A 25,810-nucleotide genomic window follows, 5' to 3' on the forward strand; every position below is an offset into this window, starting at 1 on the left:
TGTTAGGTGTCTTCATATAACCTAAGTTTTAAATTTTGCTAGACAATAACTTAAATTAAGTAATTTTAGAACATTATAAATTACTTCCCCCTTGAAGGATCGCTTGTGATTAGGAGTTTGAGACCAGCGTTGGCAACATAGTGAGATCTTCTCTCTATTAAAATTTAAAAAAAAAAATAGCCAGGCATGGTAGCAATCCTCCTACCTCAGCCCAGCTACTTGGAGGGCTGAGGCAGGAGGATTACTTGAGCCGGGAAGTTGAGGCTGCTGTGAGCCATTATTGTACCACTGCACTCCTGCCTGGACAACAGAGCAAGACCCTGTCTCCGAGAAAAAAGAAAAAAAAAAATTTACTTCCTCTTGATTATAGAACTTTCCCATGTATCAGGTTGATTAAATGGAGATAATTCAAACATTAAGTCAGTTATTCCATGCCTCTTGGATTCTTCTATGTTTACCTTAATATATAGAGAGAAATATATATACATACAAATAAACTAATAATTTGAAGTTTTTTCCATTTACTTGGTACTTAAAATGCAGGGGGAAATATGATATAGGATGGTTAATCATACATTAGGAAAATTCTTTTTGTACACTTGACAGTCTTGGCTACAAACCCAATTCTCTGCTTTCTCATTTCCTATCGACACTTCTTTGATGATACATATGTATGGCTTGTGGGAGGCAGTTGGCTTTTGTTTCCTGTGAGACAGATATCTATCTGTTCCTTCCCTTTAGAAGCAAAGAGGATACTGGTTCTTTCATTGCAAGATCTGTAAGTTAACATTGGACAGCCTGAAATGCATAATCTTTTGTTTTTGTTTTTGAGACAGAATCTCACTCTGTCACCCAGGCTGGAGTGCAATGGCACAATCTCGGCTCACTGCAGCCTCCATCTCCTGGGATGCATCTCCATCTCCTTCTCCTGCCTCAGCCTCCAGAGTAACTGGGATTACAGGCACCTGCCACCCCGCCCAGCTAATTTTTGTATTCTTAGTGGAGATGGGGTTTCACCATGTTTGCCAGGCTGGTCTTGAACTCCTGACCTCAAGTGACCCACCCTCCTCAGCCTCCCAAAGTGCTGGGATTAAAGGCGTGAGCCACTGCACCTGGTCTGAAATGCATAATCTTTTAAAACTGAAAGCCATATCTAATAGTGTTCTTAATTTGTCAAGAATCGTATGAGAAGTGCCAGTGCCCTTTGCCTGTCTAGCTATAAATGGATGATCATGCCCATCCTTTGGAGCCAGCAGTTTTGGTTCTGTCCTTTGGTCTCTGACTACTCACAGTCTGCAGAAAAGAGCAGGTTGTGACACTTGACTAGTTTATGAGAGCAGAAGCTGTTACGTGACACTTAGCACATACTGCTCCCAGAGGCCCCAGATGGATCATTAATGCTTGGAACGTGCGTGCTTTATGAAGAAGCCGTCTAATCAACGGAGATAGATTCCCTAATACCCATATCATCTTTCGTTAACTCTCTTAAGAGTCACCCTAAAATTACTGTGCTGATCACTGTAATTTCATTAAGCATCCATTACAAAACAAGCCCTTATGAGTTTAGCTTTTATTTAACAAATACATTTTTCTCTTTTAACTTGTGCCCTGCCATTTATCATACATTGAAGCTTTAGAATAGTAGAATATTTGTGTTGAAAACATCTTGGCATTCTGGTTTATTATCAGGTTTACAGATCTGGGACTGAAACCCCCACAAGGATAAATGGCTGCCTCAAGGCTGTTTTGTGAGTCCAGGGCATTATGTAACCAGCTTTCAGTACTATTGCTTTAAGGGTTGGGTCTTCCTTTTTTTCTCTTTTTTAAAAATTAGTGCCTCTGTTTATATACAATTATGTTTTTAATTTAAATATAGGGCTAACTCTAATAATTTTTAAGTGCTTATCATGAGAAGTGGTAATCCAGTTCCCTGCTTCCTTATCTCTAAAATTTCTGCTGTCCAGAGACAACCACTTTTAATTTTTTTAGCCGTTGTCTTTAGGGTTTGATGGTACAAGGTTGATAATACAAGAATAACCAACTGGAATAGGGAAAGTATTTATACTTTCAGTAAACTTTTCTTTGGTTTTAGATTTTATATCTAAGAGCTTGTGTTGCATCACTGTTTTCTTGCCCTGGAAAACCCTAACTGAATGTAATCAGGATGCCCCCAAAGGTTGATTTGAGAGCTTTATTTTGAATGAAAAATCTCAATGTTTTCTGATAAAATGCTAGACCTAGAAATGGATTGGTTAAATCTAAAGAATAATGAAATCACTTAATCTAGTACAAAATAGTTTAAATAAATGAACAAAATATTTTAGTGCTGCCTGAGGTAATTTAATCTCAGATTAACATTGAGAATACAGTTTTATTGGGGGATGTACTTCATTAATATGTGGGCCACTGAAGAAAAGATTGGATATTCCTTACTGGAGATAAGTGGAATTAAAAGAATTAATGGGTTGGACTGGTTTAGCAGGCGTATATTTATGTGTTATGCTTTACTTGAATTCTAAGGTTTTTTTCCTAATATAAAAGCTAATAATTGCCGGGGCGTGGTGGCTCATGCCTGTAATCCCAGCACTTTGGGAGGCCGAGGGAGGCGGATCACGAGATCAGGAGATCGAGACCATCCTGGCTAATATGGTGAAACGCCAGCTCTACTAAAAATACAAAAAATTAGCCAGGCGTGGTGGCAGGCGCCTGTAGTCCCAGCTACTCGGGAGGCTAAGGCAGGAGAATGGCGTGAAACCGGGAGGCAGAGGTTGCAGTGAGCCAAGATCGCACCACTGCACTCCAGTCTGGGCGACAGAGCGAGACTCTGTCTCAAAACAAAACAAAACAAAAAGCTAATAATTTATCAAATAGTAAGTTCTGTGTCAGGTAGTGTGCTGAGTGTTTAAATAGAAGTTAGGAAATAAAAATAGTTTCTATTCTCAGGAAGTTTATAGACTAGTCAGTAAAAAAAAATCAGTAATTAAAACTCAGTAAAGTAAAATTTTTGTTTATGGTTATAAAAGAATATCAGACCAAATCTCTGACGAGACTACTGTAAAAACTGTTTAAAATACAAAAATAAATATCTTTGAAGGCATTGGGGACTAACCAAGGCAGCCAAGTCAAATTTGGCAGGAGCCAAAATTATAGAGAAAAATTCAATTGAGTTGAGCCCATATTTACCCCTGCTTTTTTCCCTTAGGGCGGTGGCTAACTCTTCACATGGGGTAGAGGCCAGACAAAGCAGTGGTCCAGAGTTTGTTTCAGAATCACTGAGTAGCAGGACTAAAATTTGAATTGAGGGATTCTAAGGCAGCCAAGATGTTGAGGGTCCAAGATCCTAGGAAGAAGACAACCTCAAGAGTAATGAGGCCGGGCGCGGTGGCTCCCGCCTGTAATCCCAGCACTTTGAGAGGCCGAGGCAGGCGGATCATGAGGTCAGGAGATCGAGACCATCCTGGCTAACATGGTGAAACCCCGTCTCTACTAAAATACAAAAAATGAGCTGGGTACAGTGACGGGCGACTGTAGTTCCAGCTACTTGGGAGGCTGAGGCAAGAGAATGGCGTGAACCCAGAGGCAGAGGTTGCAGTGAGCCGAGATCATGCCGCCACTGCACTCCAGCCTGGGCAACAGAGCAAGACTCCATCTCAAAAAAAAAAAAAAAAAAAAAAGAGTAATGAACTCAGCCAGCATGGTGGCACCTGTCTGTAGTCCCAGCTACTCAGGAGGCTGAGGCAGGAGGATTGCTTGAGCCCAGCAGTTCGAGGTTACAGTGAGCATTGATCACACCACTGCACTCCAGCCTGGACAACAGAGTGAGACCCCATCTCTTTGGGAAAATAAAGAGAAAGAGGGTAGTAAACTCAACATTTGACTTAGCTTTTGCTGTTAAGGTATTTTTCAAATTCAGAAGGAGAAATTCAGTAGAGAGCTATTACCAAAGACTTAAAAACTTAAGCACAGTTTTTGTTCTTACAGGAGTAGGTAGACAAAAAAATTAGATTTCAAGGCCAGCCAAATGGGAATGACAAAGGGAAATATTCGAGGCCTTCGGTTGAGACCTCAAAAGAATTATGTCCTACAAATAAAGGTTGACCAGAAGTTATCAGCTTTAAATCTAACTTCAAAACTTTGATTGAATGAGGTGATCAGCCCTTATTCTAGTTACCTGCCAGAAGAAACTTAGCCTCTATACTATTTGAAACATAGTATCCTGCATTCCATCAAAATACCAGGCATGACCAGGCACAGTGGCTCATACCTGTAATCCTAGCACTTTGGGAAACCAAGGTGGGAGGATTACTGGAGGCCAAGAGTTCAAGACCAACCTGGCCAACATAGTGAGACCCTGTCTCTATAATTAATTAATTAATTAAAATAGGCATGCCAATAAGCAGGATCAAATGAATGAAAATCAAGAGAAAGAATGAGTAACAAGAAAAGAAGAGGTGATCCAGATATTGGAACCCTTAGATAGGCTTTTAAAATAACCAATTTATGAGTTTAAGGAAACAGATGAAGAGATAGAGAGTTTTACCGGAGAACTGGAATCTGTAAAATAGAATCAAATCAAAATTTTATTTTATTTTTTGATTTTATTTTTTGAGACAGAGTTTCATTCTTCTTGCCTGAGTACAATGGTGCGATCTCGGCTTACTGCAACCTCTGCCTCCCAGGTTCAAGTGATGCTCCTGCCTTAACCTGTTGAGTAGCTGGGATTACAGGCACCCACCACTATTTTTTTTTTTTTTTTTTTTTTTTTTTTTTTTTTTTTTTTAGTAGAGATGGGGTTTTGCCATGTTGTCCAGGCTGGTCTCGAACTCCAGACCTCAGGTGATCCGCCCACCTGGGCCCCCCAAAGTGCTGGGATTACAGGCGTGAGCCACCGTGCCTGGCCCAATGAAAATTTAAGGACTAAAAAATTCATTAGCTTGAGCTAGGAACTCCCATATATGTGTTTCACAACCACTGAACACAGAAAAGACTTGTGAATTAGAGGATTGATCAGTAAGAAATATCCACAGTGAAGCACCGAGAAATGAAAGGATGAAAAAAACATAGTGTAATGGAGACAAGGGACATAATAGAAGGGTTAAGACACATACAATTGGGTTATACCAAAAGAGAGGGCTAGGAGTGTCATAAGTGCTAAAAGTCAAGGACAGTGAAAAAAATATTTAATTGCTAGAGAAAAAAGATACTAGGTTAAGAAGAATAATGGGATCAACAGCCGATTTCTCAATAGGTAACAGAAAGAGGATTTGTCACCAGCAGGCCCATTCTGAAAGAAAAAGGAAGTTCTTGTAGCAGAAAGAAAATAATCCCATAGGGAAACAAAATTTCAGGAAGGAATAAAGAACAGTGGAAGAGTAAATGTGAAAGTAAATATATATGAATATTGACTGCAGTGTAATAAAAATATCTTGTTTAAAGATATATGTAGCTTGAAAATTTAAGATAAAATGGTTTAAAAGTTAGGAGGGGGACAGTAAATGTAATTAAGGTGTTGCAAGGTCTTTGAATTGTTCAGGAGGTTAGGAAATTAATTTGTCATAGACTCTGAATAAGTGAAGGGTTTCACATTGTAAATCTCTAGGGCTACACTCTGCTACAGTTGACGTTGGCTGCATGGAGTTACTGAGAACTTAAAATGTGGCTATTCTGAGTTGAGATGTGCTGTGATTATAAAACACCAGATTTTGAAGACTTTGAAGACTTAATATAGAAAAAGAGAATGTAGGCCGGGTGCGGTGGCTCACGCCTGTAATCCCAGCACTTTGGGAGGCCAAGGTGGGCGGATCATGAGGTCAGGAGATCAAGACCATCCTGGCTAACATAGTGAAACCCCGTCTCAACTAAAAATACAAAAAATTAGGTGGGCACCTGTAGTCCCAGCTACTTGGGAGGCTGAGGCAGGAGAATGGCTGAACCCGGGAGGCAGAGCTTGCAGTGAGCTGAGATCGCGCCACTGAACTCCACCCTGGGGCACAAAGCGAAACTCCGTCTCAAAAAAAAAAAAAAGAAAAAAGAATGTAAACTACCTCATTTAAAAAATTTAAAAAATACTGATTACATGTTGAAATGATCATATTTTTAATATATTTGATAAAATATATATTTTTTGACTTTTTCAGTGTGGCTATAATATTTAAAATCACATATTAGCAAAGTAATAAAAGAATGGAAAATAAGGGGCTAATAGAAGATAAGTAGAATATTAATACTTGATTCATCCAAAATAAGGCAGGAAAGGAGAGAAAAGGAACAAAGAACTAAAGGTATAGTAATAGATGTAAATCCATATATGTAAAAATCACATTATAGGTAAATAGGCTGAATATTCCAGTTAAAAGACAAAGATTTTCATGTTAAAAACAATAGACTCAACCATGATTTGTGTATAAGAGACCCACTTTAAATGGAAAGACTGAAAGTAAAAGAGTTGGAAAAGATGTCCTATGCGAGCACTAACCAAAGGACTGCTGGAAGAGCTATACTAATTTCAAAGCATCATTTCTCAGTAAGAAATATTACTAGAGATTGAGATTGTCCGTAATGATAAAGAATTAAAACAATAACAATAGCCAAGGCACTCTTAGAAAACAACATTGGAAGACTTCATGCTGCCCAGTAAGACTTTAGAGGCACTGAGAGCATATCATAAATTCATATGCATCAGGTAACATAGCCCCAGAGAATATAAAGGAAAACTGATAGAACTAAAAGGCGAAATAGGCATATTTGGAGATTTTAACACGCTTCTCTCATTAACGAATAGAAAAAGCAAATGAAATTTAGTAGAGCTATAGAAGATGTAAGTAATGCTATTAACTACTTTGTCCTGACTGAGCTATAAAACACTGCACCAGACAATAGTGGATTGCACATTCCTTCTAATTGGCCACAGTATATTCATCAGAATTGGCCACATGCACTGTCAAAAGATTTCAATGAATTAAAGTCCTTCAGAGTAAGTTATCAAAATGGAGGGGAAAATGTGATCTAATCAAAGTAGATGAACAAAAGCATTTGATAAAATTTAACTCCTGTTTATTAGTTTCAAAAAAAAAAAAGCCCCACAGAACAAATTTCTAACAAACTGGGAATAAAGGGACTTTTAAAAAGATGATAAAGGGCATCTACAAAAAATATTTATAGTGGACATTAAGCTTAATGGTGACTTATTGAAAGCTTTCTTCCAGAGATGAGGAAAGAGACAAGACCCTGCTCTCATCACTTCTATTCAGTTTTGTATGTAAAGCTCTATTGGGAGGCTGAGGCAGGAGGATCCCCTGAGGCCAAGAGTTTGAGACTTGGCCTGGGCAACATAGTGAGACCCCCGTCCCTACAAAAAATTAAAAAATAAAGTTCTAGTCAGTGCAGTAAGGCAGAAAGAGAGATAAGAGGTATAAAATTGGAAAGAAAGAAATAAAATTGTTTCCAGACATGAGTATGATGTAGGAAATACTAACAAAGATGCATGTAAAATATGAGAGTTAATAGCAAGTGAAAAAATTTTCAGGATCTAATTATTATTATTGTTATTATTATTATTATTATTATTTTGAGACGGAGTCTTGCTCTGTCATCCAGGCTGGAGTGCAGTGGCGCTATCTCAGCTCACTGCAAGCTCCACCTCCCAGGTTCACACCATTCTCCTGCCTCAGCCTCCCAAGTAGCTGGGACTACAGGCGCCCGCCACCACACCCGGCTAATTTTTTTTGTATTGTTAGTAGAGACTGGGTTTACTGTGTTAGCCAGGATGGTCTTAATCTCCTGACCTTGTGATCAGCCCACCTCGGCCTCCTAAAGTGCTGGGATTACAGGCGTGAGCCACTGCACCTGGCCCTCAGGATCTAATTTTTATTAGCATTTAAAAAATAAATTATAGCCAGGCTTTGCTATGTCTGCAGCAGATTAGACACAGAAAGCCTGATTTAAAAAGCTGATAACACCAAGTGTTGGCAAGGAAGCAGAGAAACAAGAACACTTGCACCCTGCTGACAGGGCTCTAAACTGTTCTAGCCAGTTTGGAAAATGTTGGCAGTATCTGCTGAAGTTGAATAGTCTCCATAAGAATCAAAAGCTGGAAACAACCCAAATAATCATTAAGACGTAAATGGATAAATGAATTGTGATATATAAGGTACTACAAAACAAGCAAAAAAAAGAATAAACTGTTGCAACATGCAGCAGCATGGATGAATCTCACACATGTAATATTGAGCAGAAGCAGCCAGATGCACAGGAGTCTAAACTATGATTCCATTTAAATGAAGCCAAAACAGTGGTGAGATTAATCTATTATGATGTCAGAATAGTGGTTATCTTTAGGGGAACTGAGGGATCCTTTCTGGGATTCTGATTCATTCTGTATCTTGATTTGGGGGAGGCGACTACATGGTATATTCACTTTGTGAAAATTCTTTTAGCTGTACTTATCATTTGGGTACTTCATGTATATTGAGCAAAAATTAAGGAAAAAATTTTTTTGGTATTTTCAGGAATGTTGTCGCCCCAATTATCTGTGGTTTTGAGGTTTTTATGTCACATGTTTCTGATATTTTACACTTCTTCATTTATTCCAGATGATTTATTAAGATTCATTAGATTCATTTTCTTTTCTATATAAAACAAATAATTTATAATACTGTATTTGTTTTCTATTACTATTGAAATTACTACAAATGTAGTAGCTAAAACAACACATATTTTTCATCTTAGAATTGTATTGGTTAGAAGTCCAACATGGCTCTTACTGGACTAAAATCAAGGTGTCAGCAGAGCTGTGTTCTTTTCTCAAGCTTTAGGGGAGAATCTATTTCCTTGCCTTTTCCAGCTTATAGAGACAGCCATGTTTCATGGCTTGTAGCCCCTTCCTCCATCTTCAAAGCCAACAACAACTGGTCAAGTTGTCACATTGCATCACTCTGACCATAGGTTATCTGCTTTTAAGGCCTTGTGTGATTTGATTGGGTCCACCTGGACAATTCAGGATCCTCTTCCTGTTCTTAAAATTCTTTTTTTATTATTATTATTATTATACTTTAAGTTTTAGGGTACATGTGCACAACGTGCAGGTTAGTTACATACGTATACATGTGCCATGTTGGTGTGCTGCACCCATCAACTCGTCATTTAACATTAGGTATATCTCCTAATGCTATCCCTCCCCCCTCCCCCCACCCCACAACAGGCCCCTGTGTGTTATGTTCCCCTTCCTGTGTCCATGTGTTCTCATTGTTCAATTCCCACCTATGAGTGAGAACATGCAGTGTTTGTTTTTTTTTTGTCCTTGCGATAGTTTGCTGAGAATGATGGTTTCCAGCTTCATCCGTGTCCCTACAAAGGACATGAACTCATCATTTTTTATGGCTGCATAGTATTCCATGGTGTATATGTGCCACATTTTCTTAATCCAGTCTATCATTGTTGGACATTTGGCTTGGTTCCAAGTCTTTGCTATTGTGAATAGTGCCGCAATAAACATACGTGTGCATGTGTCTTTATAGCAGCATGATTTATAATCCTTTGGGTATATATCCAGTAATGGGATGGCTGGGTCAAATGGTATTTCTAGTTCTAGATCCCTGAGGAATCGCCAAACTGACTTCCACAATGGTTGAACTAGTTTAATCACATCTGCAAACTCTCTTGCCATGTAAATAAACATGTTCATAAGTTCCAGAGATTAAGACATCAACAGCTTATGGGCCTACCACAGATATCTTATAAAAGTTAACTTCTGAGAGTTGAGTTTCTAAGATTTAGTTGTGTTATTTTTTTTACAACTCCCGTACCATACAACTCACCAAGTTGGACAGTTCAGTGGTTTTTAGTATATGCACAGAGTTGTATAATCATCATCACAATGAATTTTAGAATATTCTTACCACCTCACAGCCCTAGGCAGCCACCATGGGTTTGCCTGTCCCAGACATTTCATGTAACTGGAATCATTTGTGGTCTTTTGTCACTGGCATCTTTCATGTACCATATTTTTGAGGTTCTTCCACGTGGCATGTGTTAGTACTTCACTCCTTTCTATAACTGATTTTTTTTTTTTTTTTTTTTTTGGAGACAGAGTTTCACTCTTGTCACCCAGGCTGGAGAGCCAATGGTGCGATCTTGGCTTACTGCAACCTCTGCCTCCTGGGTTCAAGCGATTCTCCTGCTTCAGCCTCCCAAGTAGCTGGGATTACAGGTGCATGCCACCATGGCCGGCTAATGTTTGTATTTTTAGTAGGGACAGGGTTTCACCATGTTGGCCAGGCTGGTCTCAAACTTGACCTCAGGTGATCCACCCACCTCAACCCCCCAAAGTGCTGATTACAGATGTGAGCCACTGTGTCTGGCCAATAATACTTCTTAGTTTGTTGTTTGCCTTTGGTTGATTTGCCCTAAAATGGTAATTTGTGACACTTTTGTCCAGGTTTATATTTGTGTTTGTGGGGGCTTTCGGGTTTTTTTTTTTTTTAGGGAAAGGATCTATCTACCTCTTTGCTCTACTGCAGCCAGAAGTTTCCTAGCATGCGTCATTTTGGGATTCTTTTTTATTTTCCCTACCCTCTTTCCTAAGCAAGGAAAAGAAGTACTTACCTTTATTCTCCCAGAATTGTGTGTCCCCATAGATTGAAGAATCAATAGAGTGAGAACTAGTGAACAGATAAAAATAGCTCAGTCCTTCACAGCTTCCTTTGTAATAATAGAAATAGGAGACAAATAGGAGAAAAAGGAAGTGCTCTTTATAAATTGTATGAAGTATTAAGTATGGTACTTGCTACCTGCACAACCCAGGCATGAGATTAGCACTTGGTGTTAGTCACACCCCCTTAGGCCACTACTCATTGCCACCATTTCAAAGCCTGTGGGTTGAGTAGATTCTTATATAAAGGTGACTTTCCTAACCTAAAGAGATTGGGCCCAAAAGCACAAGTTTCTTCTGATTCTTCCTAGACACTACATACTGGAAAAGACAAGGGAATAGAGACGCTTCCTTTTCACATGTCATCCCTCTTTCCCTTATGTGTCCAGCCTTGAAGGGGAATGTTATTTCTACTCATCCCCTACCCCAACCCTTAAAAAAAAAAAAAAAAGAGGACTTTAGTTTCCTCTCTGGAAAACATTCCAGAATGCCGCTCTTCCCCTGATCCTTCCTTTTCTCACCCTTCCACCTTCCTAGCGTCCTCTCTCCATGATCAGAGTTAGGACTGGGCTAGGGGTGTGTGGCATGAGAAAGGTTAGAGAAAGCTGGGAGTTCTTCCAGTAGACAGAATGCTGTTAAAATAATGCATTAGGAATTCCTCATAGTCCAAGCAGAGCTTAGTTGGTTTAATTTCCTCTTCTATAACTGGAATCTTAGGTCACAGGAATTACTTCCCAGAGTTAAAAAATAAAAAAAGGTGCTGGCAGTAGATAAGAGTTTTGATCTGAATCAAATCTAGGTTGAAAGTCTAAATCTTTTCATTTTACATTGTCACTTGCATGGAAACTAAGTATACAGAAAGATCTTATTGTTTGTAAATATCAGTGTGTTCCAGGGGTTAAAAATACTTGAACAAAGGGGAACAAGAATGGCCAGCCTTGCGTCCCACCCATTCTTTATGTGGACTGTGTCTACTCATAAGTTCTCCACAGTGAAGCAATAAAAACTCCTGGAGTCTAATCATTTTCTGTCCTGATGACAAGGTATCTTCATCCCGAAGGCTCAGCGGTTGGCCAAGAGCTTCACATTTCTTGGAGCCACCGGGGAATAGAAACAGCTTGTATCTCAGGGCTCTTCTTGGGCCTGTGTTCCTTTTTTTTTTTTTTCTTTTCTTTTTTTTTTTTTTTTTTTTTTTTTTGAGTCAGAGTCTCACTCTGTCGCCCAGACTGAAGTGGAGCGATCTCGGCTCACTGCAACCTCTGCCTCCTGGGTTCAAGCGATTCTCCTGCCTCAGCCTCCTGAGTAGCTGGGATTACAGGCGCATGCCAGCAAACCCAGCTAATTTTTTGTATTTTTAGTAGAGACGGGGTTTCACCCTGTTAGCAAGGATGGTCTCAATCTCCTGATCTTGGGATCCGCCCGCCTTGGCCTCCCAAAGTGCTGGGATTACGGGTGTGAGCCACTGCGCCCGGCCGGGCCTGTGTTCTTTACTGCACACAGCAGAGGTTAATTGATGGCTTTTCTGTCCCAGTGAAGTGAAAGAACTCTTTCCTGTTTTCAGGGCATTCCTTTTAATGTCAAACATAGCAGCTGGGAAACAAAGTTTTCCCAGAATCACAGTGTACTTACTGCATTCTGTTTAAACATGATCTTGATAGCTACTATTAACATCTATTTCCAGAAATTTCAGGGCTGTAATTTTAAAAATCAGTTGCTTAGTGCCATTACCATAAATGAGTTTGATCAGTGTGTTTTGTGTGTGGTAGATGAGACTACTCAGTCAAGGCTTTTCTCCCCTGGATGACACAAATTAGATCCTCCCAAACAGGGGAAGGAGTGGAGGCCTTGTATACAGCACCAGTCCTTAAATGCTCATTTCACTCCCCTCACTGTGAGCATTTTTCAGAGCTGCATTCAGGACCGGTACATTTGGATTTGGAAAGAGAATTAGGAATGGTGCCCTGGCGGAGGCATGGTCTGTTGGCAGCAACAGCAGTAGCTTGGATGTACCTGTTGTTACTTCACCAACTAGATGGGCTACTGGCGGTGGGCAGACCTAAGCAGTTTGAATGGAACTCTACAGGGTTGTCTTCCCTTTAGCTCAAGGTTTTGTTCCTTTTTCTTGCATTCTTTTTCCATTTAACTTCCACTAATGACATGGAGAAAACCTGCCGAATGTAATAAAATGGTTTGTTTGCCAATGCTCTTGTTTAGCTTTAAGATAATTGTCTCAGGATGCATTTCCTTAGATAAAATGTGAAATACTTCATGTGAATCAGCACCCACATTCCATTCTCAGAAGTTAGAGGAAGTCAGACTTGAGACAGCCCCTAGAAATCACAAACCCAGGGCTTCCATTTCACATCTGCAAATCAGAAAGGTGCCATGCTTGCCTAAGACCATACAATTGGCTCTCCAAGCTCCCAGCCCCAGGCTCTTTCCACTGAGCTGTCCAGCCTCCACGGCAGTGTCCCAGACTCTTCAGTAAGTTTCCAGTAAGTAGGTATTTTTATTACGAGTAATGCTGAGAAACAGAAATCAGATAAGTAACATTTTCAAGAGCTGCCTAATTATTTTGCTAAAAGCAGAATCATTAAATTCTCTGGGTCAAATAATCTTTATGTATCATCTCAAATAACAGGCACAGTTCTTGACTTCCTTGCATCATGAGAAATCATTGTTTTCTTGTGCTTCATCCACTTTGGATGGGATGACAACATAAGGATGTGGCCTCCACAGACAAGTTGGAGTTCAACAGGTTGATTTCATTAGATACATGATTGCTCTGGATTTTCACAAATGAGTTTAGCCTGAGGTCATTCTGGCAATTTATGGTGACCTCTCCATTTGAGAAGCAGGTTATTTGTAAAGATGCCCTGTTGCTGCCTCATGATAAATGATTATGGGAAGGGTAATTAGCCATTAGACAACATAGGGCGGGAGAGAGAGAAACTAGTTTCCTTTCTGAATGCACTCTTTAGATTCAGTAGAAAAGAGGCTGGTTATCTATAAACACCACCCAAAACTTAATGGCTTAACATAATGACGTCTATTTATATCCTGAGTTTACAGTTTGGGTGGGGCTTAGTGGGGATATCTCATCTCATCTCATCTCCGCTCTACTCAGCTCAGTGCCACTGGAGAGGTGGAACTAGCTGATGGCTCCCTCCCTTACAGGTCTGGTGGCTGTTGGCGGAGACTTTCACTAGACCTGTGGCCAGAGCACTTCTATGTAGCCTCTCCAATATTTGGTCTGCGCTTCCTCAAAATGTGGTGGCCACATTCCAAGGACAGTTGTCGAGAGGGAGAGACAGGCATAAGCCACCCCACCTTTGATGACACAGTCTTGGAAGCCATGCAGCATCTCTTCTACCATACTGTTTGTCAAGGCAGTTACAAGGGGAAGGGAAATAGGCGCCACCTTTTGATGGGGCATAGGAGGCTTCTGAAGAAGATGTGGGGCCAGAAATACTGCTGTGGTCATTTTTGGAAAATTTAATCTGCCACAGAGACTGTTATCTCTTACTTAAGTAATTAGAGAAGCTAATAATGTGACAGTGACCTGACAGAACCTTATGATGCTTTTTTAATGTTGCCTCACAAATGAGAGGGAATCTGGGTAGATGAGGCAATATGAGGGTGAGATTAAGTGGTGGTGTAGGGAAGAATGCTACATGATGTAAGCCAGGTGTGTTTGCAGCTGCAGGACTTTCTAGTGATTCACCTAAGATTTAGCTTATACCCTGGAACACACAAGATGACTTTCTGCCAGTTAGCGTCCACCCAGGATATCTTCCATCAGACATCAGCTTTTGACCAGGGTCCCTTGGACTGTGCCTGGACTGTATCCAGTTCTGCCATGGTTTATACCTGTACTACATTCAGTTAAAAAGCTCTAAAACAGAGAGAGCCTGTGTGGTACCTAAATGTGTTTGTGGCCTTGGGCTTCCTTTTTTTTAATAGTTGCATTGAGGTATAGTTGACATAATAAATTGCGTATAAAGTTTACAACTTGATAACTTTTGACATACATATACATATATGTCACATATATACACCTGTGAAAGCTATCACCACATGATAGACAAACCATCACCATGAACATTTCCTCGTGCCCCTTTGTACTGCCGTCATCCTGCTTCTCCCCCACATTTCCCATCCCCACACAGCCACTGATCTGCTGTTGCTGTATATTGTTTGTATTTGTTATAGTTTTATATAAATAGAATCATAGTGTGTACAATTTTAGGGGAGTTCTGGCTCCTTTCACTTAGCACATTGAGATTCATTCATGTCATTGTGTGTAACCGTAGCTCATTTCCTTTTTTTCCCTGAGTGTTAGTCCATTTTTTGGGTTTACCACAATTATTAAGCCATTCAGCTGCTGATGGACATTTGGGTTGTTTCCAGTTATTGCTTATTGTAAGCAAAACTCCTATGAACGTTCACGTGCAGGTGTTCATATGGTGTCTTAGTCAGTTTGGACTACTGTAACAAAGTACCATAGCCTGGGTGGCTTATAAACAACAGAAATTTATTTCTCACAGGCCTAGAGGCTGGAAGTCTGAGATCAGGATGCCAGCATGGTGGGATTCTTGTGAGGGCATCTTCCAGGTTGCAGACTGCCATCTTGTGTCTTCACATGGTAGACATAAAGAGAATGAGAGAGCTGTCTGGGGTCCCTTTTAAAAGCACACTAATCCCGTTCATGGGGACTCCACCCTCATGACCGCATTACTTCCCAAAGAACCCCACCTCCCTATATTATCACATTGGGGATTAGGATTTCAACATAAGAATTTGGGGAAACAGGAATATTCAGTCCATTGCATATGCATAAGGACATCTGAAAAGTGGACTAGCTGCTGGATCATGTGGTAGGTATAGGTTGAACATTTTCAGAAGCTGCCCAACTGTCTTCCAGACTGGCTCTACCCTGTCACTTTACCACCAGCAGTGAAGGAGAATTCTAGTCCTTCATATCCTTGCCAAGACCATGTGGTCAGCCTCTAGACATTCGGAACGTGTAGTGCTGTTTCCTGGTTTTAATTTTGCAGTTGCCTGATAACTAATGGTGTTAAGCATCTTTCCACATGCTTATTTGCCACCGTATATCTTCTTTGTATTTTTTGTTTTGAGGGATTTTTTGAGACAGGGTCTCACTCTGTCACCCAGGCTGGAGTGCAGTGGTGCAATCATAGCTCACTGCAGCCTTGAACTCCTGGGCTCAATCGACCCTCCCACCTCAGCCTCCAAAGTAGCTGAGACTACAGGCATGCACAACCACACCTGGCTAACTTTTGTGTTTTTGTAGATAGGGTTTCATCATGTTGCCCAGGCTGGTATCAAACTCCTGGGCTCAAGTGATCTGCCTGCCTCAGCCTCCCAAAGTACTAAGATTACAGGCATGAGCCACAGCGCCTGGCCAGAAATTCTTAATTTTAATAACATGCAATTTATACATTTTTTCTTTTATGAAGCATACATGTGTTTGTGTTGTAAATAAAAAATGTTTGCATAACCCAAGATCACAACGATTTTCTCCTGAAAGTATAATTTTTTATACATTTTGGTCTGTACTTCATTTTGAGTTCATTTCCCAATACGATGTGAGGTATGGATTGAGGTGAACTTTTTGGCCTGTGGACTTAAGTTGGGAAGGTTGCATGTGATAGAGTGAAGGATTTAAGAGCACCTTGAAAACAGCCTGGTCACACTGACACATACAAGATGCCCCATAATACCAGAGAGGGACTGAGGGGAAAGGAAGAGGACATGTCTTCTCCAAGGAAGAGATATTTCATCAGGGTCAATGACAGCTGCTCCAGAAAAGACAGAGGAAGAAGAGCAGATTTGTTTAAGAGACATTTTCATGGATTGCAAAGGAAAGGATTTGGGGATCCACACTTTTTATCTCAATACTCTTCAGAGAAAATAATTTTTTTTTCTCTTTTTCAGACAGAATCTTGCTCTGTCTCCCAGGCTGGAGTGCAGTGGCGTGATATCAGCTCACTGGAACCTCTGCCTCCCAGTTTCAAGCAATTCTCGTGCCTCAGCCTCCCAAGAAGCTGGGATCAACAGGCATGCACCACCACGTCTGGCTAATTTTTTTGCATTTTTAATAGAGACAGGGTTTCACCATGTTGGCCAGGCTGGTCTCGAACTCTTGGCCTCAAGCAGTCTATAGTTTGAGAACCCCCTTGGCCTCTCAAAGTGCTGGGATTACAGGTGTGAGCCACCAAGCCTGGCCCAGAGAAAATACGGATTAAAAAAAGGCTTTGATCTTCTTTGGCTAGATGTTAGACCTCAAGTTATCAAGTAAGGCAAGATTCTGCTCTTGGCCTTGGGTGTCAAGTGACAGAGTGATTCTTTGGGTTTATAGCTCCTGCAGGGAACTGTCAGCGGATGCATCTTTGCAATGCTAGCTCTCTCCTTTAGGCATCTAAACTTGTGGAAATTTTTCTTTCAATGCTCTAAACCAGTCATGAAATACATATTTGACACTTGTTGTGCACAACCAGAGAGGTAGTTAAATACAAGGAGGAACAGAATGCAGTCTAGAGTATGACCTTTGCCCTCAAAGAACTTTCTGTGGTTTTTTTTTTTTGTTGTTGTTTTTTGTTTTTGAGACAGGGTCTCACTCTGTCACCCAGGCTGGAGTGCATTGGCTCACTGCAACCTCTGCTTCCCGGGTTCAAGCGATTCTCCTGCATCAGCCTCCTGAGTAGCTGGGATTACAGGCGTCTGCCACCACGCCCAGCTAATTTTTGTATTTTTAGTTGAGACAGAGTTTCACCATGTTGATCAGGCTGGTCTCGAACTCCTGACCTCAGGTAATTCACCCATCTCGGCCTCCCAAAGTGCTGGAATTACAGGTGTGCCACCACCCCCAGCCTCAAAGAACTTTCAAGATTATTTCTGAAACATATTATTATTTCCAGGCCTTTTAAAATTCTGCCATTTCCAGGGAATAATTTAACCTTTTCAACACTCCAGTTTGTGATTAAAAACACTCATTTACTGTACTGCATAGAAGTTGCGTTTCACGTGGCCTCTGTACTTCTGCTGCCATTGTGTCCCTCCATAGGGTCCTCAACACTCTTTATCTGGCTGTACCCTACCCTACTGTGTTTTAATACCAAGGAAACAGCAAGAAAAGCTGGTAACCAACTCGTATGTAAAACAAAACCCAAAAAAATAAGCATGGGGTCAGGAGTGAAGTGCCACGCAGGGCGCTCTGCTTGAACACCAGCTCTTCTCTGGGGTCCTGGTGACGGTCCTGTCGTCACTTTCTTCCAGTGGTGGTATCTTGTTATATTTGGTCCAAAGTAAAGTGTTTTATGGTTCCCTTCATCATTTATTGCACTAAAGGAAAAAGTAAGTAAACTATTGAGCACTGAGTTGAGGGCTCTGGAGAGAAGTACAGGAAGGTGGTGCCACAGGTGTGCACCTTTTTTAGTTGTTTTGCCATTTTCCCTCTGCCAAAACAGTATCTAGTAGGTGTAGAAACGAATACACCGACAGAGTGAAAAGAATGCTTCAGTTCCTTCTGTAAGCAATAAAATAAGTTCATCGTAAGGTGAGCACACTATATTGAGCATCTCTTTCCTGATATCATTTCCTTCCTAAGCTCCTGCAAGACCATGGTGCATTTCATATCCAGGCTGCTGTACTCAGATGGCCTGGATGTCCCAGGTCAGACTAAATGCACTGCCTGTGATTTCAGAAATAGGAAGTGTTGTGCCAGGGAAGACCAGTTGTCCTTTTAGGCTCCCGTTCTGTCTCAGCCGGTGTCAGGTGCTTGGAGGGTGAGGTTGGGTGGGTGATCTTCCTCTGAAATACCAGTACCAAGACAATAATGATGCATTCAGAAAGTGCATAAGGTTTCACCATTGATGCAGTGGTCTAAATCTTTTTGCTTTGTATTAAATTAATAAAATCCTATAGTCTCAGTTTGGTAGCTTATCCTTTTTTATATAAGTTATATTTTTCAAATATTAGTATTTGAATGAGTCCAGATATATACTTTGCCCATCCTGTCTGCTTCATATTTTTTTTAGCAGACCTCATTTTTAGAAGTGAAGCCTGTTTTTTTCTTTCTCTTTAAATTCTCTGGACTTTGTTTCTGGATGGAGTTTTCTTACACCAGTATGTTATTCAGCAAACCTTTGTTTGCCTGAAGAGTGTGCCAGGTTTACCATTCAGCACTTGGTCAAGATTAAGGTCACCCCTTTGGAGCTTGAGAGAGAAGCAGAGTCATGTAAGTGCAGTACATTGCAGTCCACATCCTGGAGACCCTGTGACAGAATTTTCTGTGGCTGCTCACAGAGCCATCAGATCTTCATCTTTGGCCACATGGCAGGATCTCCTGAAATTTGGGGGTACTGGCTAGAGAAAGGGACTCAGGAACCAGCATGGCTGTCTTCTGGTATTCAGAGGCCTCTCCTGGGGCCAAGGGAACACTCTTGTGTTTCACACTTTTGTGTTGTAGAAGGTGGAATCAACACCATCTCAGGGGCAAAGAGCAGGGATCGGGGGAGAAGAGGACAGGATGTGTTGAGCTTCAGCTGGAGGGCCTTACAGATGTCATTTTGTTAAATCTTCATCATTATTTTTTCCATTGTGCATATGAGAAGAGTGAGACTCATACAAGTTAAAAACGATGTGCCCACAGTCCTACAGGCAGTACAAAGTGCCACCAACAATCAAAGTGCAGATCCATGGGACTCTGAAACCTAGGATACTTTGGCCACACCACTCTGCTTTTCCAGTGATCTACAGAGACATGGCTTTCAAATCAGTATAAAGAATTTCCAAGGACTTATAATGGAGGAGGAGTCAGCCTTGAAGCTTCTTCCTGTAACCACAAGGTTCTAGCATAAACTAAAGAGGCCTTTCTCAGAGAAGGCTTCTGAACAGTGTTTCTGTGTAAGTCATGGCTGGTGACACCACTCAGATTCCACCACATTCATCTCTCTGAGCCTGAAGACACAATTGGTGACATTTGTCCTGAGGGTAAATTAAAGAAGGCCCCCCTGGATGTTTTGGAAGGCCTAATTAGTTTCTCCTCAAACAATCCAGTTCCCCTAAAGAGGCCAGGAAAGCTTTTGGGGGTTAGGATGAGGACACGATTCTGCACCGTTACCTCCCTTCCTCCCTCACCCAGTCCCTTCCTCAGAGCATGCACCAGGGCAGATCTTGCTTGAGGATTTCCACGAGGGTCTTTTTCAGTTGAGATTGCATTTTAGTGAGTAATATCCCCTGCCAAAGCTAAACTAAATCTGTGGGAAAAGACAGTAATCATTCCTAAGCTGCTAATAAAACTGCTCACAACATGCTCAGAGTTCATCAGTTAGCTGTGACCCAGCCAGTGGCTCTTGCCTGACACCCATCTCTGCCTGGTGGCAGTTTCCTGAGTTATCAGAAAGCAGACATCATGATTCCTGTGTGCTTCTCCATGAAACGTCTCCCTCTGGAGGGGTTTATGGGGACATTAATCCCTAGCTCTTAGGGTGACATTGGCTGACCAATTATTTTATTCTGAACTGTCCCCTCAAAATAGGTTCATTTGACTAAAAAAAGTTAAAGCGCCGGGCATGGTGGCTCACGCCTGTAATCCCAGCACTTTGGGAGGCCGAGGCGGGTGGATCACGAGGTCAGGAGATCGAGACCATCCTGGCTAACATGGTGAAACTCCATCTTTACTAAAAATACAAAAAATTAGCTGGGCGTGGTGGCGGGCGCTTGTAGTCCCAGCTGCTCAGGAGGCTGAGGCAGGAGAATGGTGTGAACCTGGGAGGCGGAGCTTGTGGTGAGCTGAGATCCGCGCCACTGCACTCCAGCCTGGGCGACAAAGCGAGACTCCATTTCAAAAAAAACAAAAAAAAAAGTTAAAGCATATTAAATCCAAAACATACTATAGATTTTGTTTTTGTGAAGCTTCAATATAGTTGAAGCTATATCTGAGAAGTATGCTTGCTACTTTGAGCATATGGGGCAACGTAGTTGTGGTTAAATATGGCTGCTTCTCCCACAGAATCAGGGATGGCTTCCCTTTCTTGGGAATAGCCATTTACAGAGGATGACATATATCAGGTTCCTTTTGCCATACCAGAGGTACTCAGTTTCAAGCTGACTGATACCCTGCCTCCTACCCTTAGCTGCCTGTTTATTTTTAAGAAATATATCTATTTTTACATTTTTAAAGCAGAGCTGTAATAAATTCTCATAGAATCCATGCTCATGCATCATCTGAGTTTTAATGTAACTTCTCAGTAAACACTCCAGGATAATTTAGTTGTTTATGAGATCCACCTAGTGTATAGAGTTACTGGGCATAAACTGTACTTCAGAACATCTGGCAGCCTCTTTTATTTGAGTAAAACATATGTAACAAAAATTTACCATTTGATCATTTTTAAACATACAATTCGGTAGCATTAAGTGCATTTGCAATGTGTATTCATCACCACTACCTAGTTCCAAAACTAGATCACCCCAAGTGGAAACCACCTACCCATTCATCAGTCAGCTCCTTCTCCTCCCTAGCACTTGGCAACCACTCGTCTACTTTCTGTCTCTGGATTTGACTATGGATATTTCATATAAATAGAATCATACAGTATGTAGCCTTTTGTGTCTAACTTTCACTTACCATAATGTTTCAATACTTACTCATATTGTGGCGTATATTCGTACTTTGTTCCTTTTCATGGCCAAAAAATAATCCATTGTATGGATAGACCATATTTTGTTTATTCATTTGTCAATTGGTGGGCATTTGGGTTGTTTCCACCTTTTGGCTTTTTTGAATAGTGCTGCTGGGAACGTTCCTGTACAGGTATTTGTTTGAACATCTGCTTTCAGTTCTTTGAAGTATAGACAAGGAGTGGGATTGCTGGGCCGTATATTAACTCTGTGTTTAACTTACTGAGGAACTGCCAAACTCTTCCTCAGCAGCGGCATCATTTGCCGTTCCCACCAGCAGTGTCCAAGGATTCCAGTATCTGCATCCTCACCATGTTTTTCTTTTCTTTTAAATAATAGCCATCCTAATGGCTGTGAAGTGTCATCTTCTTGTGGTTTTGATTTGCATTTCCTTAGTGACTAACCGTGTTGAGCCTTCTCATGTGCTTGTTGGCTATTTGTATATCTTTGGGGAAATGTTCTATTTACGTCCTTTGCTCATTTTTATGTTTGGGCAACTGGGTTGTCTTTCTGTTGTTGATCAAGTTCATGTTTGTTTGTTCTTAATGGAAATTTTCAAATATGCACTAAAGTCATGAGAATGGTAAAACAACCCTCCTGTACATAGCCCTAGCGACAAGATATCAGCATAGGGCACTGTCCCCACGCCCACCTGGAGGATTCGGAAGCAAACACCAGCCACTTAATGTCACCACACACTTAGAGCTCACTCCTCCCATTGTGTCATAATCAGTTTGCTTGAATTAAGATCCAAATAGGGTTCTCACATTGTGTTTGGAAGTATGTCTCTTTTAGGTCTCTTTCAGTTCATAAATCTTTTTTTCTTTCAGTTTCTTTTTGAAGGAACGGGATTGATTGTGCATCCTACAGAGTGACCCACAGTTCAGATTCTGTTGGTTCCTTCCCCATCCTGTTGTCCGTGGTGTAAACTGGTAGGCAGAGCTGGAGGGTGGATCTGATTCCAGTTCATGTTTTTGGCAGAAACATCTCAGCTGTGGAGTTCTGTCCATTCGCAGCAGGACTGGCTGCCTCTTTCTGTGATGTCACTGCCTCTGATAACGAGGTCAGTCATTCTGGGTAATTCTGTCACTCCTTCCTTCATTAGGCTTCCTCTTTACAGAGAAACCCCTTTGTCAGCTGTTCAGCTGCCTTGACTATGGTTTGGTCTGGAAAGTTCTATCAGGTGCTTGTTCCTCTCCCTTGATTTTCCAGCACTCAGGTTCACGAGTGGTTTCCAAGCCAGGCTGGGTGTGCCTTTGTAGATATCACCATAAACTCACCGATGTCACATTTTAGATGTACCACCCCATTGTACTTAACACCTAACTTCAGTTTTTCAAATGGTGAGCCTTCCTGTTGGCTGTGGATTCAGATCACCTGGGTACCTTTAAAGAACATTATGCCCTGACTCGTTCACACCACGTGAATGAATGTCTCTGGGGTGGGGCAAGCGTAGGAAAACCCGAAAAATCTTTGCAGTGATTCTAGCGCACAGTGAGGATTGAGGGTCCGTATTAGATCAAGAGCAAAGACATGCAGGGCTTATCTCCAGAGGCTGCCAGCTCCACCTCGGCCGCCTGCCCTACCTCGGCCGCCTGCCCTGCCTCCTTCTTGCTCCCTCTTTACCATGTAAGTACCAACACCTGGGCTCCATGATGAGCCAGGCAAGACTCTCCCTGAAAATGTACTGCTTCCCCTTCCTTCCCCTTCCTTCCCCTTCCTTCCCCTTCCTTCCCCTTCCCTCCCCTTCCCTTCTCTCCCCTCCCCTGACCTGGAGCAGAGATTGGCCCTGCTTCAGGGAGGAGATAAGCACTGTAGTCCCCAGGGCAGCACCCTTAGATCAGCAGCTAGAGGGCCTGGCCAGGTTACCCCACAGGCACCACCGGCCCCAGGCAGGTGCCCATTCATCACTCCCAGGGCATTCTGTGTTTAACAGCCACTACCCAGAGATATCAATCAACAGTCTCGATGGTTTTTTTACTCTCTTTCAGACATTATATCTTCTCCCACCATACTACACAGAAAAGGAACCTCACTCACCTCACTCAGGCTCCCAAACTCTGCCACAGTATAGGGGGGCATCGTGAGCCAGGGTTTTGTTAGTAACTCACTCTTACCTCATGAGGCTGGGCTGTGATCCCCAGCAGGTTTCATTCTGAGTGCACTGGGTTGCAGCTTAACAGTGTGGTGTCCTTGTGAAGCTGGAGGACCAGTGAGGACCACCTCTGCCTGAAGGTGGACCTGGGGACAGCGCTCTGCACGGCTCAGACAGGCATGAGGAAGTGGATGCTTGCATGTGTCAGCAGAGAGATGAATCAGAGCCCTTGGCTTCTTGCCCTGTGTCCATAAAAGTGGCATTTCCTTAAATAGACCAGAACCTTAATAGCTATTTAAAGAGCATGTGGTATTTGGGAGTATATTTTATGGCCCTTAATTAAACTTCAAACAAATTAAAACATTTAGAGATCTTTTATGACATATTTTTAATCTTTTTTGTGGAGATTTGTATAATCTCTTGGCTTTCACATCCCACCCTAAGGCCACAGACAGAAGGCAGGGTCACATCTACAGTTGGGGTTTCCATCCTTGGTCAAGAAGCAGTGAGTGGAAACCACCCAGCCAGTCCCTTGGAGGGGTGAGGCTGTCAGGAGTCTTTATGAGGGTAGAAAGGACAGCAAATGGCACTGTGAAACAGGCCCTGTCTGTCCCCTGTCACATCTCTTAGTTGACATTTCCTGGATGAAGGATGTGTGCCCTTAGGAGAAAATGGGGCAGAGCTTCTCATTCGAGTCTGTGCAGAGGCCGTTTTGAAAGTTTCTTCTGGCACATGTCATCTCTCTTGTTTTGTCGACCCTAATCCAAACATGGAATTATCTCGTAGAGTAGAAAAGCTCTAAATTGACCTGAAAAAAACTAAGTGCAAAATCTGAATTCATCGGTAAGAAACTTGCATTATAATTAGTAAGTAATATGTTTTCTATGTCTCTATTATTTTAAAAAAGTTAATTTTTTTCTTCTTAGATTGCCACCATTGCCTGTGAATAGTGAACAATAGAAATTCCTTCCGTTAATGTGCATTTTCCCCTCAAATAAGTGTGAGTTTTGGCTTTGAGAATAGCTTACTTTAAAGGGCTCTGCTGGCCTCCATCAGAAGCTGTCTCTGTAGGAATCAGGACATGAGTGCAGAGTGGAAGGCCCTTGGCCCTCCAGCCCCTCCGCTCTTCAGCAAAGTGTAAATGGCCTTCCCTCAGAGGGAAACCCCTGGAAGATAAGGACTTTCCTTATGCACTGAAAACGCCACTTTTACTAAATAGAAATGCTATTTCTAGGCAAGGTCTGTGAAATAAACTCGTAAGAAGGGATATCTGTGAAAGTTGTAACACTATTATGGCTCATCTAATTTCATGCTTTTCTGGCTTCTGAAAATTTCATTTGCGAGGCATACGGCCAGAGTCCCAGCTACTTGAGCAGCTGAGGCAGGAGGAACCCTTCAGCCCAGGAGTTCAAGCCCAGCTTGGGCAACATAGTGAGAGACTCCCTCCCTTTTTTAAAAGCACACAAACCTGATTTGTGGTTGCTCTTCCCTTTATTCGCCATTGCTCCTGTTGCTTCATGGCAACTCATATGTTTCTAACTGCAGGAGATTGGAAGTCCTTGTGGCCTCTCCACATCACTGCTGCATTGACCACTCTGTCCTGTTTTAAACACACTCTTCCTTTGCCTTCTGGTTTCTTTCCCCCAACCCCCAGCCCTTCCCTGTGTTCCATTAAAGGCTGTTCTCCTCAGCATGGCCATTACTTGTTGGAGTGCTGAGGGGCTGGATCCGAGGCCTCCTTCTTGCTTATGGCCCACTGTGACCATCCCTAGGGGATCCCATACAGGACTCCGATGATGCCGCACTTTCTGTCTCTCCGCACTGCTCTCCTGACTCACGTGTCAGCACCACCAAGCACCTTTGGGTATCTCCAAGGTATCTTGAACTTAAGGTGACAAAAACACACCCCTCATCTGCTCAGTGCCCACCTTCCTCCAGGGAGCTCTGCCTCTGTGAAGGCCACCACCAGCGTCTGGTTCTGCCCACAGAAGCCAAGGCCCATCCGGAGCACTGCATGCGCTCTCCCTCCTCATAGCCAGTCTGTTGCCAAGTCTAGTCTGCTTTAGCTGCCAAGTATCTCTGGAGCCCTACATCTCCCACCCACCACTCCAGCCCAACTTGATACGGACCTCTGCAGCCACTGACCAGCCGGCCTCTGACTGCCCTCCCCCTGCTCCTGGCTGTTCTGACCCCAGTCCAGCCACTCTTCCCTTTAAACCTCCTTGAGCCCTGGCCCATGTCAAGTCCGTGTGTCAGCCCTGTCCAGCAAGATGCCCGCCCACCCATGAAACCCCAGGTGAGGACTCGCTGAGTGTGCAAATGAATCCTCAAAAAGAGCAGCCCATCCCCAGGCCCTCTGC

The 25,810-nt window shown here is 42.1% G+C and overlaps 1 protein-coding gene and 2 long non-coding RNA genes across 6 annotated transcripts in view, besides 1 other annotated feature; 2 read left to right on the forward strand and 1 right to left on the reverse strand.

Moving 5' to 3' along the window:
- Window positions 1–25,810, forward strand: part of SPECC1L-ADORA2A (SPECC1L-ADORA2A readthrough (NMD candidate)) — a 171,544-nt gene that overhangs the window by 108,236 nt on the left and 37,498 nt on the right.
- Window positions 1–25,810, forward strand: part of SPECC1L (sperm antigen with calponin homology and coiled-coil domains 1 like) — a 146,908-nt gene that overhangs the window by 108,222 nt on the left and 12,876 nt on the right. The window lies entirely within an intron of this gene.
- Window positions 15,162–23,607, reverse strand: LOC105372960 (uncharacterized). Its single transcript, XR_938082.3, has 2 exons — window positions 23,473–23,607; window positions 15,162–15,284 (listed from the first exon to the last, which is right to left on the reverse strand). It is a non-coding gene; the product is annotated as an uncharacterized LOC105372960 (long non-coding RNA).
- Window positions 22,385–22,444: an enhancer, noted in NCBI's record as "active region_18769". NCBI's record gives its function as "activates an Ori minimal core promoter by ATAC-STARR-seq in GM12878 lymphoblastoid cells {active_cell/tissue: GM12878}" and the evidence as "EXISTENCE:reporter gene assay evidence [ECO:0000049][PMID:35858748]".

The sequence above is a fragment of the Homo sapiens genome, chromosome 22, assembly GCF_000001405.40.
Source record: "Homo sapiens chromosome 22, GRCh38.p14 Primary Assembly".
NCBI lineage: Eukaryota > Metazoa > Chordata > Mammalia > Primates > Hominidae > Homo > Homo sapiens.